The 19,281-nt window shown below is 39.8% G+C and overlaps 1 protein-coding gene and 1 pseudogene across 8 annotated transcripts in view, besides 1 other annotated feature; both read right to left on the reverse strand.

Annotated features, from left to right (window-relative positions):
* NAPB (NSF attachment protein beta) overlaps nucleotides 163–19,281 on the reverse strand; it is a 46,967-nt gene continuing 27,848 nt past the window's right edge. For 7 of the 8 annotated variants that reach the window (NM_001283020.2, NM_001283026.2, NM_022080.3 and 4 more), the window contains 6 exons: nucleotides 15,850–15,905; nucleotides 15,587–15,671; nucleotides 6,854–6,958; nucleotides 5,508–5,576; nucleotides 5,086–5,136; nucleotides 163–3,127 (listed from right to left, as the gene is read on the reverse strand). In NM_001283020.2, the coding sequence (NP_001269949.1) occupies nucleotides 3,017–3,127; nucleotides 5,086–5,136; nucleotides 5,508–5,576; nucleotides 6,854–6,958; nucleotides 15,587–15,671; nucleotides 15,850–15,905 (477 nt within the window). In that variant the 3' untranslated portion in view covers nucleotides 163–3,016. The remainder of the gene's footprint in view (nucleotides 3,128–5,085; nucleotides 5,137–5,507; nucleotides 5,577–6,853; nucleotides 6,959–15,586; nucleotides 15,672–15,849; nucleotides 15,906–19,281) is intronic. The other variant, NR_104266.2, reaches the window with a different exon arrangement.
* On the reverse strand, nucleotides 6,537–6,653 carry RNA5SP479 (RNA, 5S ribosomal pseudogene 479; annotated as a pseudogene).
* Nucleotides 17,362–17,901: an enhancer, noted in NCBI's record as "OCT4-NANOG hESC enhancer chr20:23372358-23372897 (GRCh37/hg19 assembly coordinates)". NCBI's record gives its function as "activates a minimal SCP1, AML or CMV promoter by ChIP-STARR-seq in primed H9 embryonic stem cells {active_cell/tissue: H9 hESC(primed)}" and the evidence as "EXISTENCE:reporter gene assay evidence [ECO:0000049][PMID:30033119]".

Raw genomic sequence — 19,281 nt, forward strand, 5'->3', positions numbered from 1 at the left:
AATGACCGGAGCCTAGAGAGTATTAACGTCTGTTGCCTTAATCTTAACGGGAACAACTTGAAACAATGGAAGCTACTTTTGACCTATGCCAATTTAGCAACAAGACTCATCAAAATATTACTGATAATTTCCACTTTATAGGTTAAAATAAAACAAGCATACTTTTTCTGCTAAGGTAGATTTATTGTTACACATGGTTAGTTTTCATAACGTAATCCCCTGCCCCAGAGCAACTCAGGACTCCATGGAGCAGGAAGCCTGCTCTTGGTCATAGCTCATACCACAGCAGGCAGGTCACGGGGGCATGCTGTGCTGCCAAGTCCTCCAAAGGAAGTCACAAAGGTTTGCATTTGGACATTTAAATCCACAAAATCAGGAGAAACAATAAATGCACAAGGGCTGGTGCATATACTTTGGTTACAGTGACGCCACCACACACGGTCACGACTGTGCAAAAATACTGCTTTCAAATCATTAAATAAAAAAGAACTCACACAAGCTATAAAAATGTTGCCACAAAAAGCAAAACTTTCCTCTAAGAAATATTAACTGACTTTGACTATGAACTAACTCCAGATTTGCTAAAGTACAAGAATTGTACCATAAATAATTATATTTTGTTCATAAGTAACATTCTATAAATCTTGAAGACCTAGCTCACAGGCATCTTGAAACATGGCACTGTCCTACATCCATGGGACATTTAAAGGAAGTAAGTTTGCACACCACTAACTGGGCTTTTCTCTCATTCTTTTTTTTAATCTTCTGGCAGGTCTCTTCTAGCCATTACAATTACTTTGATTCTTTTCATGTGAAATATTAAAAACAAAAATTAATTCTTAACCCCGGAACTGGTCCCAGTGTTTATTGCAATACAAACAAGTGACCCTCTAATTGACACAACAAAATGTTACAAACATTATTGTTAAAAAAAAATACCCCTTCAGACGGGTCTGTTGGAGTATAATGATGAAAGCTAAACATAATTGCCCGAAAATAAATCATGTAGTTTTTACTTTAAGTGGTCAGACCAGAAGATTCTTTAAACAAGTAGAAACAAACTACTTAAAACCAGAGGACTCAAGCTGCAGAACCACTCCTCACACCCCATTTTCACAAAAGTGCATTTGGCTGGTTGTAGGATATATTATTAGGTGGGGAAACAAAACCCCACTTTTCTCTCTGATCATTTTTTCATAAGAGATTCTAAGAGGGAGTGAAAAAGTACCAACTGGACTCCATTCCAGGTCTTACCTCTAGAAGACAGCCAGCTCTCATTTAAGAATCTCAGAACTTGGAAGGAAGGAGGAAATCCACATTAAATTCTAGGGCCCAACAGACAGAGTGTCTTCATTGCCACCCCCAGTAGTGGGGACTACAGTGCACCTGTAGTCCCAGTAGATGCTCTGACATCACAGAGCTTCCTGCTCTACCAGCCCACCTCATGCATGTCACCACCATAACTATAGCCTGCAAGTCCTCGTGGCCACCTGATGTGGATCCTCTACAGTCTGTCCTTGGCTGGCCCTTCCCACTTCCTTTCCTGCTACTTTCTCTTTCTTCCTAGACTGACCTACTCATCATTTCTCAAACAACCTGCAGTCGACCCTTGGCCTGGAAACACTACCAATTCCAGTTGAGAGCCACCAAAAATGAAAACATCATTCCAATACTACTTACTACTACCTGACATAACATAGGAAGTTTCGTTACCTGTCATCAGTGAAGCTCCGTGATGTCAGAGTGTCTGCTGGGTTAAGTCTGGCAACACATTTCAAATATAAATCATTTAACTATAAATATTCAGAGGACATTCAGGAGACAAGCGTATGTCTAAAGTACAATATCAGCATATAAATTAATAGGATCAAGTTCATGAATCAAGATAGCATACATATATTATATAAACCAATTAAACACGACAGAGTTCAAACACATAAGCCAACATATTCCACCAGCTAAGAGAACAATCAAGTCCCCTGAGAAACAAGTTGGGGTTCTTGCCCACTTGGGCATACAGGACATTCCTGTACCACATTCACCCCACCTAACCCATCATGTACAATAAACAGGAAAATTACATACATTCATTCTCAAGCTTGACTTAGATAATCTATCCAGCCCTGACCAAGATTTCTATAGTCACAGCACAGAACACACCACCTCAACGTGGGAAAGTGTATAAACATGAAAATAATGAGCAGGCTATGCCAATTAAAATACTTCAATGTAAATATAAAGGGATTTCCACTCCAACTAAAAGTGAAAACTATCTCCAGAAAAAGAGAAAAATTCCATTTCTAACAGATCTTGTGATATGTGTGTGTGTGTAAACGCGTGTGTCTAAGTACAAATCAAATTCACTTTGACACTCATCCATACATGAAGCAAGTACTTCCAGAAAGCTCCCTTCCTCACAATGTGATGCCTACAGACCCTGGCTATTCTAAATTTTTGCCATGCACATGTTAGCATACGGAACAACACAAAAAGCAAAGAAACTAGTCACTAGCACCATCAAAATAATCACAGGATAACAAAAATAGAAATGATTTCTAATGAAGTTATAAACTCATTCCTAGTAACTGTCCTAAACTAAACACACATTTAAAGAACATATTCAGATGCCAAAGCACAGAGAAAATGCAAAGCATCTATGAGAACAACTGGGCTGAGTACTCAAGTCCAACAAAAAGGACATAAAAACACGTGGCAACATTAAACATAGGCTCCACAAATACCAATGAAATATGAGGAATGAGATTCTGAAGTACTTCTCAGAAAACGCTGGGGGTTCTGATAAGCATGAAACAACCCATCATTACCACAAGATGAACAGGAGCCTCTCCTTCATTCATTTCACAGCAACACAGACTTGGCGAGCTTAAACAATACACAGGCCGTCTGGCTCATATGCAACAAAATTAAGCCATTAAATAGGCATCCCATAAAGATCACTTGACCCTAAGACAAAACTAAAGAGGAGTTAGCTGCATGCCACAAAGACAAAAACATTTCATTTTAGGTCTCCATCTCCTTCTCCATCCCCTTGGATGGACTTTTTGATGCGAAGCAACATGGTGGTCAGCCACTGATCCAAGCGAGATATTGAGTCAAATTCCTTCACCTAGTATAAGGAAAGAGGAACAGGAATTACCCCATGTAAATACATTAAAAACACAAAATAATAGTACCCCAAGCTGTTTATACCTTTACAGCCATAATCTACTAACTTTCTTCATCATTTGAAATTAATCATTCCAGTTTATAACTTTCTTCATTAAAAAATTGTTTATTTTTTCATTATCCTGTTACTATTTTGATACTAGTGACAAGTTCCTGGGCTTGACATTTCTCTGTTTTCAAACGTGTAAGAAAAAAATTCATTAACAGTCATAATTATTGTGGCAAAAGTAACTGGATATTGTATAAAAATTTGAAAGGAATATGGAAAATTAATACTCACTGAACATGGGAAAACATTAATTACAGAGTTAGAATATGTATGGAAGCGGAATTAACACATTTCAATGCATTACCCAAAAATAAAATTACAATAGGATGAAAATGATGTGGTAGGCAAAAGTCAGACAGGAAAACATTCCTTTCCTCTATCACTCCTGAGCTGTGATGAACATGTTACAGGAGGCTACTGAGAAATTTGCTTGAGGCTGGATGTAGTGGCTCATGCCTGTAATCCTTGAAGTCTGGGAGGCCAAGGCAGGTGGATAGCTTAAGCCCAGGAGTTAAGAGACCAGCCTGGGCAACATGGTGAAACCTTGTCTCAACAAAAAATGCAAAAAAAAAAAAAAAAATTAGCTGGGGGTGGTGGTGTGCACCTGTAGTCCCAGGTACTTAGGAGTCTCAGGTGGGAGGATCACCTGAACCCAGGAGGTTGAGGGTGCAGTGAGCCGTGATCACACCACAGCACTCCAGCCTGAGTGACAGAGTGAGGATCTGTTTCAAAATATATAAAAACATTTTTTTTTGCTTGATTCTAAACATGAGATGGCAAAAGATGGAAAAACAAAAAGTATAAAGAAAAAAACCCTCATATTTTTAATATATATATATATTTATTATTTATTTATTTATTTTTGAGATGGAGTTTCACTCTTGTTGCCCAGGCTGGAATGCAATGGCGTGATCTTGGCTCACTGCAACCTCCACCTCCTGGGTTCAAGAGATTCTCCTGCCTCAGCCTCCCGAGTAGCTGGTATTACAGGCACACTCCACCATGCCTGGCTAATTTTTGTATTTTTAGTAAAGATGGTGTTTTGCCATGTTGGCCAAGCTGGTCTCAAACTCCTGATCTCAGGTGATCCACCCGCCTTGGCCTCCCAAAGTGCTAGGATTATAGGTGTGAGCCACCGTGCCTGGCCACCTTCCATTTATTTCATGCCACAAATACAGCAAATTCTCACTACTTAGTTTTTATATTTTAAATTATATTTAATTTTTTTTTTCTTTTTTTTTTTGAGACAGAGTCTCGCTCTGTCACCAGGCTGGAGTGCAGTGGTGCAATCTCAGCTCACTGCAACCTCTGCCTCCCGGGTTCAAGCGATTCTCCTGCCTCAGCCTCCCGAGTAGCTGGGACTACAGGCGTGTGCCAGCATGCCTGGCTAATTTTTATATTTTTAGTAGAGACGGGGTTTCACCATGTTGGCGAGGATGGTCTCAATTTCCTGACTCATGATCTGCCTGCCTCGGCCTCCGAAAGTGCCAGGATTACAGGTGTGAGACGCCGTGCCTGGCCTTAACTAATTTTACTTTATACTTATTTATGGGTCAGATTATTTTCAAAAGAAAAAATTAAAACAGCAAATTATAAGAATATAAATGGAATATTTGCTCCTGAACTAGTCTCACAGCTAAATTAGTTTTGAGTGTAAGTCGAATCTCAGCATGGCTAATGGAACTGTTTAATTTGTGTGATATATAAAAGGTGACGTTTGGAAAATACAACTTAAGGTATGCTGGAGTCATGTTCAAATAAATGTTTAGAATTCACATAATGAAAAGGAAAAGAAGTTTCTTTAACTTAAATCTTCAAATAATGTACCATGTCCCAAAAGCATAACTTACTGCTTCAGTGTAAGCTTCACTGTTCTGTTCTTCATGAGCTTCTAGGAGTTTCTGGTAGCATAAAAATATTTTAAAAAACAGTTCTGTAAGATGAAGTCCCATTTCTAAATATATACTTTAAGTATAATACCAATGTTGCCAAATATTGCACAAAACTGAGGAAATACTCATATACAAGTCAAGAGCCAAGTTAGGGATCTAGCTTCTGTAGTAACATTTCTCAGGTGCCTATTTCAGAACACAACTACATGTTTCTGACCTTAATTGCATTTGAACACCTATAATACGAAAGCAGGAAAGTACCAGGGCCCCTCAGTTAGCAGACTTTATAGATTAAAACTTCACTTCATACCCAATCCCACTTAGGTGTTGTCACCTAACAGAACAAAAGCATTTTTCTTCAAAGTTCTAATATTACTTACTTTCAATAATTTACATTCTCTTGAATCAGTAAATGCTGGAAACATTTCCTCATATTTCTCAAGAGCAAGCTGAGAGAGAAAAACCACTCATCAATTTCAGACTTACTAAACAAACAAAGCTTTCAACATTCTATCAGCTTCAAATAAGATCTACCTATATCCTATTAAGTGTTGAAAAAGTATGTAGTTAAACTCAAAAGCAGAATCAACATAGAAAATCTTTCTATTCTGAATTTTCCATTTCAATAAAGAATAATTTCTAAACTACTTTTTTCTGAGTTAGGCTGCTGCTGAGAAGACATTGTAAATGAAAATGAATTCTTAAACACTCACAGACCAGGTATCTGTATCCATCCATTAAATGGAGACGTTCTTAATACAGTCCAGATTCCAAATAAATTACATTTAGCTTCCTGCTCGAAGCTGACAGAAAGAACAGTTTCTCTTACTGGCTTTAGTTCTGCTCTTCCAACTCCAGACACTGGCCATGCCAAGGCTGCCTGTCTTTTTGCCTCTTGGCTCCCAGTGCTCACTGTGCTTTTCAACTTCTTCCCAGTCCTCACTCCAACACCATTTCTGAGCTTGCCTGTTGTTTTGGTTGTTTTTTAAATGGATATTATCCTACTCTTATTGTCTCCTCCCTTAGTTCCTTAATTTCTTTCTTTTTTTTTTTTGAGACGGACTCTTACTCTGTCACCCAGGCTGGAGTGCAGTGGTGCGATCTCAGCTCACTGCAACCTCTGCCTCACAGGTTCAAGTGATTCTCCTGCCTCAGCCTCTCAAGTAGCTGGACTTACAGGCACCCGCCACCACACCCAGCTAATTTTTTTATATTTTTAGTAGAAACGGGGTTTCACCATTTTGACCAGGCTGGTCTCAAACTCCTGACCTCAGGTGCTCCACCCCACTTGGCCTCCCAAAATGCTGGGTTTACAGATGTGAGCCACCACGCCTGGCCCCCTTAATTTCTTTAAAGCAAAACTACTGAAAAAAAAATGGTGGCTACCAGTGAACATATACATATATTTAAGCCTATAGCACTAAATATTCCCAGGCAGTGCCCCCCATTCAAGTACCAGGCTCTACACTGCTTAGCTTCTGAGATCAGACGAGATTGGGTGTGTTCAGGGTGGTATGGCTATAAACTATCAGGTAACTTTTGAGAACAGCTTTGACAGCTGTTAAAAGATTACAACTGGGACACATACCACAGAATAATACTTATTTTTAATGTACCCGTTTATTCTTGGTACTAACATCAAAATGAAATGATACCAAGAACAAGAGAGAATGTGTACGTATTCTTATGGGTGAAATCAGTCAATCAATGCTGAAGAACTCCTTACCTTGGCATTCAACTCGTCTACTATGAAGTGGCAGAGGGCAGCTTTGAAGAAGTAATCCTTTGCACTGTATTTCAACAAAGGATTATCCATTGTGTTTGCCCCAACCTAGGCACAGAACGCAGAGTTAAATTTAAAAGATTTACCCTCTTATATCAGGCAAAGTCATTCTCATCTGTTGTCCTTTAGAAAATAATTATGTATCTTATGTTTGTTTAGCTATGAAATATATTATTTTATCCGAATACCATATAGTAGAAATTTTACTAGACAAGACCATTAAATACATGAAGTCTTAACCAGTTAAAAATAGCTCAGAAGAATTCTGCTTCCAATAAGATGGAGTAAACATCCTTTCCCCTAATCCTCCCACTAAGCACTACTAAAAGCCCAGGTCATTTTCTAAAAAACAAACGTTTCCCAAGGGAAAACGTGGTAGTGGGTTCCCTCAGTTTTCTTTTCCCTTCCTATATCCATGGCATGAAACTGAAGAACCAGCAACCCAGAAATGCCAGTATGCACAGATAAAAAGAGAAGAGACAAAAGCCTGCTCTCTCTGGCCAAAGGACTAGAAAAGGGGCAGCCCAGCAAGAGAGAAAACACTTAGACAATAACTGCTCTACTCCAGCCAAATATCACAGAAAAACTGAGGCCCTAACTCCATTTACATCATCAAAGGCTGAAGAAGGAGTCCTAAAGTCCATTCTTGAAAGACTGTAAGAAGCACCCCAATACCTCTGCTTAGGAGCTTCAGAGAAGGCCAAATAGGGAGCTGAGGCTTGATCCCCACCCAACCCCCTGACACTAAGGCAGTGCAGACCACACTGGGAGCCTGCATCCTGTCTCTGTCAAGCAGGAAAGAGGTTCCCCTTCTTTCTCCAGCTGGTGTGCTGTCAGAAGAGGTCTAGTGGAGGGTGAAGACTCTCACCATACCAAGAACAAACCAGCACTGTGCTGGCAGAAACAGATAAGGAGAGGGGATGCCACTTCTGCCCAGGGCTGACTAGGCCCCTCAGGTGTCAACAGAGACCTGGTGGAAAGCTGACACTTCTACCTCCACCTGGCAGTAATGAGGTAACATCCCCACCTTCCCCAGCCAGAGGAATGTCAAAGAAGGCCAACTGAAAAGAGAACGTTTAAACAAGACCCAGTCTCATAACCTAATGTGCAAATGCCCTGTTTTCAATCAGAAATGACTTGTAATACCAAAAACACAGGAAGATCTCAAGCTAAATGAAAAAAGACCATTAACAGATGATGGTTCCAGATGACGGAAATGTCCAAAATATCCCACGAAGATTTTAAAGAAGCCCTCATAAAAATGCTCCAAAAAGCAAGTACAATAACACCTGAAGCTAATGGAAAAATGGAAAGCATCCACAAAGAAAAAGGAAGCCACAGGAAAAAAGATATAAAGTAAAAACAAATAAAAATTTCAGAACTGAAAAAAAAAAACAGTACCATACATAAAAAGTGGGTGGGCTCAACAGCAGGATGAAAGGGACAGAGGAAAGAAGCACTAAATGGAAGACAACAACAGGAACAACAGAGAGAAGACAAACTGACAAAAAGGAACAGAGCATCAAGGACCCATGGGATAATAAAACAGTCTCACTTTTGTGGCATCTGTGTTCTAGAAGGGGAGGAGAAAGAGAAAAGGGCTGGCTGGGCATGGTGGCTCACGCCTGTAATCCCAGCACTGTGGGAGGCCAAGGCAGGCGAACCACTTGAGGTCAAGAGTTCAAGACCAGCCTGGTCAACATGGCGAAACCTTGTCTGTACTAAAAATACAAAAATTAGCCAGGTGTGGTGGCAAGCACCTGTAGTCCCAGCTACTTGGGAGGCTGAGACAGGAGAATTGCTTGAACCTGGGAGGCAAAGGTTGCAGTGAGACAAGATTGCGCCATTAAACTGGCACGCCTGGGCGACAGAGCAAGACTCGGTCTCAAAAAAAAAAAAAAAAAAAAAAAGGAAGCTGAAAAAGTACTTGAAGAAATAACTGCTAAATGATTCTCAAATTTGACAAGAAACATAAACCTACAGATTCTGTAAGTTTAGGGAAACTCAAATAGCTTAAAACCAAATATATCTATCCAAGCCACATTATAATTAAACTTTTGAAACTAAAAGAAAAAAATTATGAAAGTGTCTAGAGAATAACACCTTTTTTATAGGGGAAAACAAGTTGAATGACAGCAGACTTCTTATCAAAAACAATGGAGGCCGACTAGGCGTTGTGGCTCATGCCTGTAATCCCAGCACTTTGGGAGGCTGAGGTGGGTGGATCACTTGATGTCAGAAGTTTGTAAAACCATGGAAGCCATAAAGTGCACATTTTTGAAACTAAAGGAAAAGAACAATCAACTTAGAATTATACTCCCAGGAAAACTATGTTTCAGAAATGAAGGCAAAATCAAAACGTTTCCAGATAGGGGAAAACTAAGAAAATTTGTTGTCAGCAGACCTACCCTAAAAAAATGACAAAAGGAGGTTCTCTAAATAGAAAGGAAACAATAATCTTGGAACATCCAGAAGAAAGAACATGGTAAGCAAAAATATGGGTAAATATAACAGGCTTTCTTTCTTGAGTTTTCTAAATTATGTTTGATGGCTGAAACAAAAATTCTAACATTGACTCATGTGGTTCTAAATGTATGCAGAGGAAACATTAAGACAACTATATATTGAATAGGGGGAGTAAAAGAACAGAAAGGGAGGTAAGATTTCTATATTTCACCAGAACTTATAAAATGATGACACCAACCTACAGCATTTAACCACAAAAGCTACACAAAGATATATACCATTGATTCTCCAACAACACTGGTTTAAACTGTGTGAATCCACTTATATACGGATTTTTTTCAACCAAATGTGGATTGAAAATACAGTATTCTTAGGAATTCAACACCCATATAAATGAAAGGCAGACTTTTTTATATGTGAGTTCCACAGGGCCGACTGTGGGACTTGACTATGCACAGATTTTGATATATGAGAGAGGTCCTGGAACTAATCCCCTGTAGACACTGAGGAATAACTGTACTTAGAAACACTGGAAAATCAAGTAGGCTGGGTGTGGTGGCTCACACCTATAATCCTGGCACTTTGGGGGACCGAGGTGGGCAGATGACTTGAGCTCAGGAGCTCAAGACCAGCCTGGGCAACATGGCAAAACCCCATCGCTACAAAAAGACTTGAGCTCAGGAGTTCAAGACCAGCCTGGACAACATGGCAAAACCCCATCGCTACAAAAAATAGCCAGGTGTGGTGGTGCATGTCTGTAGTCTCAGCTATTCTGGAGGCTAAGGCTGAGGTGGGAGGACTGCTTGAGGTTGGGAGGTGGAGGCTGCAGTGAGCCAGGGTCGCACCATTTCCCTCCAGCCTGGGTGACAGAGTGAGACCCAGTCTCAAAAAAAAAGAAAGAAAGAAAAAAAAGAAAAGCAACCCATAAAAAGGTTGGAAAAAGAAAACAGAGAAACAAAAAGCAAAGAATAGAAAGCAAAAACTAAAATGGCAGAAAGCAGAATTAAGCCCTAACATATAAATAACTGCATTAAATGTGAATGACCTAAATACACCAATTGAAAAACAAAGATTGGCACAGTGGATTAAAAAACAGGATCCAGGCTGGCTGTGGTGGATCATGCCTGCAATCCCAGCACTTTGGGAGGCCAAGGCGGGTGTATCACCGAGGTCAGGAGTATGAAACCAGCCTGGCCAACATGGTGAAATCCTGTCTCTACTAAAAATACAAAAATTAGCCGGGCATGCTGGCACGCACCTGTAATCTCAGCTACTCGGGAGGCTGAGGCAGGAGAATTACTTGAATCCAAGAGGTAGAGGTTGCAGTGAGCCAAAATCACTCCACTGCGCTCCAGTGTAGGAGACAGAGCAAGACTCTGTCTCAAAACAAACAAACAAAAAAAAACAAGATCCAACTACAAGAAACTCACTTCAGTTATAATGATATAGACAGGCTGAAAGAAAAAGAATGGACAAACATATCATATAAACATTAATCAAAAGAAACCAGGCAGGGCTATAAAGTGGATAAAGTAGACTTGAGCCAAGAAAATTACCAGAGACAGAGAAGGACATTATGTAATGATAAAAGGGTCTCTCCAGCAAGAATAGCAATCCAGAGCTGCAAAGTATGTGACGCAAAGACTGACACAATGAAAGAAGAGTCAGACAAATCCACAACTAAAGTTGGAGATTTTAACACCCAACTCTCAACAATGGATAGAATTAGAAAGAAAATCAAAGGCCAATCGCAGTGGCTCACACCTGTAATCCTGGCACTTTGGGAGGACAAGGCAGGCAGATCATTTGAGGCCAGGAATTCGAGACCAGCCTAGCCAACATGGCACACACCTGTAATCCCAGCTACTCGGGAGGCTGAGGCACGAAAATAGTTTGAACCTGGGAGGTGGAGGGTTGCAGTGAGCTGAGATCAAGTCACTGCACTCCAGCCTGGGTGACAGAGCAAGACTCTGTCTGAAAGAAGAGAAAGAAGAGAAAGAAGAGAAAGAGAGAGAGAGAAAGAGAGAAAGAGAGAGAGAGAGAGAGAGAAAGAGAAAGAAAGAAAGATCAGCAAGTATATTAAAGAACTCGACAATGCCATCATCCAACAGGAGCTAATCAACATTTATAAACATCACCCAATAACAGCATAATCATAAAACATATGCCAAGATAGACCATATCTAGGCCATAAAACAAAACAAATTTATAAGAATTGAAATCACGCAAAAATATGTTATCTAACCACAAAGGAATTAAAAATAAGTCAACAATAGAAAGATTACAGAAAAATCTCTGCTAGACACTTGGAAATTAAATAAAACACTACTAAATAATCCATGGGTCACTGAAGTCTCAAGGGAAATCAATAAATCCAACTAACTGAATAAAAATAAAAGTATAATGATATAATAAAATTGGGAAGTAGCCAAATGTATGAAAGGGTAACTGATAACACTAAAAATGCATACACAACAAAGATGAAAATCAGCAAGCTAAACTTCCATGTCAAGCACCCAGAAAAAGAGCAAAACAAATCCAAAGAAAACAAAATGGAGGAAATAACAATAAAAACAGAAATCAGTGAAAATAAAAACAAAAAAAGAGAAATAATTGAATTCTACCAAACATTTAAAGAGGAATTCACACCAATCCTTTACAAACTCTTCCAAAACACAGAAGAGGAAGAAGACATCCTAATGCATTCTGAGACCAGAATTACCTTGATTCCAAAACCAGACAAAGACACCACAAGAAAACTAACGATCAATATCCTTTATGAACATAGACATAAAATCCTCAACAAAATGTTAGCAAACCAATTCTGGCACTTACAAAAAGTAAAGTCAGCCACAAGGGTGGTCAACATCTATGTCACTGGACCCCAATAAAAACTCAGAACACCACGTTCAGGGGAGCTTCCTTGGTTGGCAGCAGTCTACGCTTATTTTCACTTATTACTGTGGGGGGAAGTAAGTGCTGTTTACATAACTCCACTGAGAGCCGACAACTGAAAGCTCTTCCTGGAAGTCTCCTAGACCTTGACCTATGAGTCTCTCCTTTGAGTTTAATCTGTACCCGTTTGCTGTAATAAACCATAATTGTGAGTATAACAGCTTTCAGTGGGTTCTGTAAGTTTGTCTAACAAATTATTAATAAACTTGAGGGTGTTCTTGGGAAACCCCTCAAAGTTTGCAATGACCAAGTAGAATTTATTCCAGGAATGTAAGGTTGGTTCAACATATGAAAATCAATCAATGTAATCTACAATATTAAGCTGATTAGGACAAAAACCATACGCTTATCTCAATAGATGCAGAAAAAAGTTTGACAAAGGACAAAAACCATGTTTATCTCAATAGATGCAGAAAAAAGTCTGACAAATAAAGGACAAAAATCATATGTTTATCTCAATAGACACAGGAAAATGCCTGACAAAATCCAATACCCTTTGATGATAAAAACACTCAACAAACTAGGAAGAGAGGGGAACTGCCTCAAACTGATAAAAGCATTTACCAAAACCCCACTACTGATATCTACCGCTATCACACTTAATATGAAAGACCGAAAGTTTTCCTTACAAGATCAGGAACAAGACAAGGATGTCTGCTCTTGTCACTTCTATTCAACACTGCACTGGAGATTCTAGCCAGGGCAACCGAGAAAATGAAGTAAAACACATTCATATTGCAGAGGAAGAAGTAAAACTATTGTTATTTGCAGATAACATGATTTTGGATATAGAAAACCTAAGAAATCCACACAAAAAAACCTATTAGAGCTAATAAGTTTGGCATGGTTGCAGGACAAAAAATTGATATGCAAAATTCAACTGTATTTCTATACACTAGCAGTTAACAATCTTAAAAGGAAATTAAGAAAATAATTCAATTTGTAGTAGCGTCAAAAAAAAAATAAAATACTTTGGAGTATATTTCACCCAAGAAATACAAAACTTACACACCAAAAACTACAAAACATTGTTGAGCAAAATGAAAGAAGATCCAAATAAATATAAAAGGAACCTGTATTCATCGACTGTCAGACTTAGTATTGTTAAGATGGCAATACTCTCTGTGATGACTGATTTTATGTGTCACCTTGAGTGGGCTACAGGGTGCCCAGATATTTGGTGTTATTCTGAGTGTGTCTGTGGGGTGTTTCTGAATGAGATTAACGTTTGCATCAGTAGGATGAATAAGCAGATTGCCCTCCCCAATGTGGGTGGGCCTCATCCAATCTACTGAAAACCTGAATAAAATAAAAGGTTAAAAGGAAGAATTCATTCTCAATGCCTGTCTTAGAGCCAGGACACTGGTATTCTCCTGATTCAGACTTGGACTCAGATTAGAAATTACATCATCAACTCTCCTGGTTCTGAGGCCTTTGGATTTGGACTGGAGCTATACCATTGGCTCTCCTGGGTCTTCAGAATGCAGATCTTAGGCCTTCTCAGCCTATATAATCAAGCGAATCAATTCCCTCCAGTAATTTCTCTCTCTAAACACACATACACACTCACACACACACAAACACACACACATACACCCCTACACCTCTTATTGGTTCTGTTTCTCTAGAAAACCCTAAAACCACTCCAAATTGGTATGCACATTCCATACAATCCCTATCAAAATCCAAGCTGGCTACTTTGCAGAGATTGACAAGCTGATCCTAATATTCGGATGAAAATGCAAGGGATCTGGAATAGCCAAAACAATTCTGAAAAAGAACAAAAAGCTGGAGGACTCACACTTACTGACTTCAAAACTTACTGCAAAGTTACAGATATAAACAGTGTAATACTGGCACAAAGATGGATAAATAGATCAATGGAATAGAGAGCCCAGAAGTAAGCCCTCATATTTCATATGGTGAAATAATTTTCAATAAGGGTCTTAATACCATTCAATAGTTAAAATATAGTTCTATTCAACAATTAGTGCTAGAAAAACTGGATATCCACATATAAAAGAATAAAGTTGGACCCTTACCTCATACTATATACAAAAATTAACTCAAAATGGATAAAAGACCTAAACCTAACAGCCAAAACTATACAATTCCTATAACAAAACAGAAAGGAAAAGCCTCATATCAGATTTAGCGATGATTTCTTCTATATAACAACAAAAGCCAGACAAAGAAAAAATAGACAAACTGGACTTCAAAAATATGAAAGACTTCAGTGAATCAAAGGACATTAATAACAGAGTCCAGAGACAACCCACAGAATGAGAGTAAATACTTGCAAATCACATATCTAATAGGGGATTAATATCCAGAATATATAAAGAACACCTAAAACTCACCACCAAAAAACAAACAGCCAAATTAAAATCCGGAGAAAGTACTGGAATAGACATTTCTCCAAAGATATACAAATAGCCAATAAGCAAATAAAAAGATGCTCAACATCACTAGTCATTAGGGAAATAACAATCAAAAACAGAATGAGACAACATTTCACACTCATTAGGGTGACTATTATTTAAAAAAAAAAAAAAAAAAAAACCAAAACAAGTATTGGTGAGGATGTGGAGAAACTGGAACACTGTGCATTGCTAGTGGGAAGGTATAATGGTGTAGCCACTGTGAAAATGTCTGGCAGTTCCTCAAAAAGTTAAACATGGACTTACCACATGGTCCAGCAACTGCAATTCTATTCCCAGGTATGTAACTAAGAGAACTAAAAACACCACCACAAAAACTTTAACACAAATGTTCACAGCAGCATTATTGATAATAGCCCCAAAGTGGAAAAACCCCAAACATCCATAAATTGATAAATAAACCATGAGGTATTAGCCACGAAAAACAATGACATACTGACATTTGCTATGACATGGATGAACCCTGAAAACAATACACTAAGTGAAAGATGGCAGTCACAAAAGGCCACATGGTATGTGATTTCATATATATTCAAGGTTCAGAATAGAAAAATCCATATAGACAGAGAGTAGATTGTGTCTTCCAGGGACTAGGAGGAAAGAATAGACTGCTGGGCTTCTTTTGGGGATGATTAAAATGTTCTGGAATTAAGTAGTGGTGATAGTTATACAACTTTGTGAACAGACTAAAAACCGCTGAACTGTACTCATTACGTGATGTGTGGATTATATCTCAATAAACAGAAAAATAAAAAGTTTAATTTTGAAAAATTATTCAGACAACTTCTCTCCAAGGAAACAACAGTATCCTCACCTGCTCATAGATCTCAATGGCTTTCTGGTACTGCTCAAGCTGGGCAGCATATGCTGCCACCTTCAGCAGACACTTGTTTGCTGAGCTGAAATCAAGAACCAAAGCAGAGTGAGTAACAAGTCAATGGAAAAATAAAAGATGTGCACTGGGCCTCAGTACATCTTCATTTGGTATAGTCAAATACACTCACAAAGTATAAAGAAGTATTTTTTTATCACACATAATAAAACCCATTAAATCATATTAAGAAAAGTAATACTTGCCTGTTGGATTCTTCTCCTTTGTAATAATCAGCAGATTGTTCATAATGTGCAATAGCCTGAAAACATACATATTTTATTCACACACAATTTATTTGGAGAGCTGCATTTTAAAACTACATTTGCATAGGTATTTTTCCATAAATAAACCTACTCTACCAGCAAACTTTTCACAACTCGGCCTACTTTCTTTAGGAAATACAAGAAAGCATGCACCTCTGGAAGCAGAATGCTTGCTGACCATCAAAATCTGTTTCCCCCTCCCCACATGGCATATGCCCAGCTACACCACTTCCTCAGCTTCCTCCATAGTGAGGGGCAGCCTATGACTAGTTCTCTCCAGTGGAATGTAAACAGACATGTTGGGGGCCACTCCCAGGCTTGGGCCATATATCTCACTTTGCATCCTCCTCCAGGCCTTCCACTTCCCATGAGCTAGGAGGGCTATGACCAAGTCCAGAGTGACACTGTAAGCTAGACACCAAAATGGCAGAACTGTCAGGCAGGTTCCTAAGTAATTACAAAGGACACAAGGTACCTCCAACCCCAGTGTCTCTACCACTGTCAAACCCTTAGCAGCCACACTGGATTGTTAGAGAGCTATGAAGCCCTAATTACACCTTACGTCTATGACTTGCAGCACAGACTACACACACTAATACCTTAAGTGTCACCTAGAATAAGGGTGTTGCCGTCAATCTAAAATATATGGCATCAAGTGGAGAAGAAACAGAGATCACAGGCCAGAAAGCTAGAAGTCCTTGTCATGCTGTGGTAGAAGTTAGTGAAATCAAGCACGTGACAACTCAGAAAAAAGAACTGGTGTCGGCCAGGTGCGGTGGCTCATGCCTGTAATCCCAGCACTTTTGGAGGCCGAGGAGGGTGGAATACCTGAGGAGTTCAGGACTAGCCTGGCCAACATGGTGAAACCCTGTCTCTACTAAAAAGATACAAAAATTAGCCGGGCGTGGTGTGGGCACCCGTAATCCCAGCTACTTGGGAGGCTGAGACAGGAGAACTGCTTGAACCGGGGAGGCAGAGGTTGCAGTGAGCTGAGATCGCGCCATTGCACTCCAGCCTGGGTGACAAGAGTGAAACTCTGTCTCAAACAAACAAACAAACAAAAAAATAAGTGTCTACCGGAGTCCAAAACTAAGCAAAATGGCTGAGAAGAGTCAGATGATAGTGTGTGCTGCTGTTTTTAGCACAGTTTTGTAAGAGCTGAACTCTGCAAAGAATCAGCTGGTTTGTAGACGGTGGTAGACAGCCTTAGAAATAAAGCTCTCATAAGATTGAAAAAACCTTCTATACCCCAAATAACAAGAGATAAGTATGAGCAGCTCTTTAAACCAGGGCTCTAGCCAAAGTTTTTCTCTAACAGGTCAGACAAGAAATATTTTAGGTTTTGTGCATCTTTGTTGCAACTACTCAGCTCTCTTGTGGTAGCATAAAAGCAGCCATACACAAGATATAAATGAATAAGTGTGGTTGTGTTCCAATAAAACTATATTTATGAACAATGAAATTTCTAATTTCATATAATTTTTACACGTCGCAAAATGCTTTTTTCTCTCAAGGATTAAAAACCGTAAAAACCATTTTTAGCATGCAAACATACAGAAGCAGGTGGTGGGTTTGCAGGATGCTTGAATGACAAAGGTTTCACAGCAAATGCAAATGAGGGAGCTAGCAGTCTCTGAAAATCAGATTAAAGGTGCTGCCTTTCTGCCCAAGCCCATTAGTTAAGTGGCTTCAAGGCAGCTCCTAGTGAGTTAGAAGAGATTTGCAGGGACAAGAAAACAAATAAAACAAAACAGGCCATGGAACTATAGGCAGCTTTCATTTGTGATGCACTTTGTCTTCATTCACTTAGCATCTGTTACTGAGCACCCACTTTGTAAATAGGCATCATGCTAGGCTCAGGGCTGTGATGGTGAGCGGAACAGTCATGGGCCCTGCCCTCACAGAGCCCACATTTTAGAGGGAGGAGATGTACCTTCATCAGGTAATCTCACATGTGTGTACATGACAGCTCTGACAGGTGTTCCAAAGAAATATTTTCTTCCAGAGAAATATTTTCTTCCAGACTATTTCTGTGTGTGACTAAGTATTTGCAAAAAGAGAACCATAGTACACCTGTTCTTTTATAGCTGCATTTTAAAATTCAGTATTCCGTGAAGGTCAGGCATGATGGTCCATGACTGTAATCTCAGCATTTGGGAGGCCAAGATGGGAGGACTGCTTGAGTCCAGGAGTTTGAGACCAGCCTGGGCAACATGAAAAGACCTCATTTGTATGAAAAATTAAAAAATTAGCCGGGCATGGTGGCACATGCCTGTAGTCTCAGCTACTTGGAAGGCTGAGGTGGGAGGATCGCTTGAGCCCAGGAGGCTGAGGCTACAGTGAGCTGTGTTCATGCCACTCCAACCTGTCCAGCCTGTGGAACAGAATGAGGCACACGCCACCATTCCTGGATAGTTTTTTTTTTTATATTTTTAGTAGAGATGGGGATTTCTCATGTTGCCCAGGCTGGTCTTGAACTCCTGGGCTCAAGTGATCCTCCTGCCTTGGCCTCCCAAAGTGGTAGGATTATAGGCATCAGCCACTGTACCTGGCCTTTTTTTTTTCAAGAGAAAAAAAGAGTATGTCACATTTCATTTTATCTGCTCTCAAGTTTATGGAGACCCATGTGTTGGAGACCATGCCTGGGCAGCAGAAATGACACAGCACTGCAGGCTCCTGCCCCAGAGTGCCCTTCTGACCACTGTGAAAGAGGAAGCTGGAACAGGAGCCTCTGCTGGCAAAGATGCTCTGCGCACAGTGCTCATCCCCGCAAGACTCACTCAAACCTAAATAAAGATACTGTGGCCATCCCAGACACCCTGACCAAATAAATACCCCAGCCACACCAGATCCATCTCCCTCCCATTCCATCATCAATTCCACACCAGGGAACAAAGGAGGTTCAGATCCAGCTCCATCACCTGCCTCCAGGATCCACAGATAACCTTCCAAAGAGAAGGCTCACACACACGTCAATGCACAGGGTGGCCCTGACTTGATCAAGATCAGGGAGTATCCTCAGAAAAGTATGGCAATTATAAAAAAAAAAGGTCAAATAATAAATTTTATGTAACAAATATGAGCAAATTTTGTGCTGAATAACCAACAGGTGGAGGTCACACAGTCAAAAGAGTGAACGTTAACAATGCCAGTCCAATTTCAGTAACGCCTAGCAGATCCTTCCCCAGACCAGGAAGACTCCATTTGGTATGGTGGAGGTAGGGGTAGCATTTGTTTATTTAGCAAATATTTAGACCCCACTAGGTCCCAGAGTTCTGGGCTCTTGGGACACATCAGCAAAGCAGAGACAAAGCTCTCTGCTGACACGTGTGCCCAATCTGGCGGAGGGAGAGAGACAACCAAAATGAGAAT

This window comes from Homo sapiens, chromosome 20, assembly GCF_000001405.40.
Source record: "Homo sapiens chromosome 20, GRCh38.p14 Primary Assembly".
NCBI lineage: Eukaryota > Metazoa > Chordata > Mammalia > Primates > Hominidae > Homo > Homo sapiens.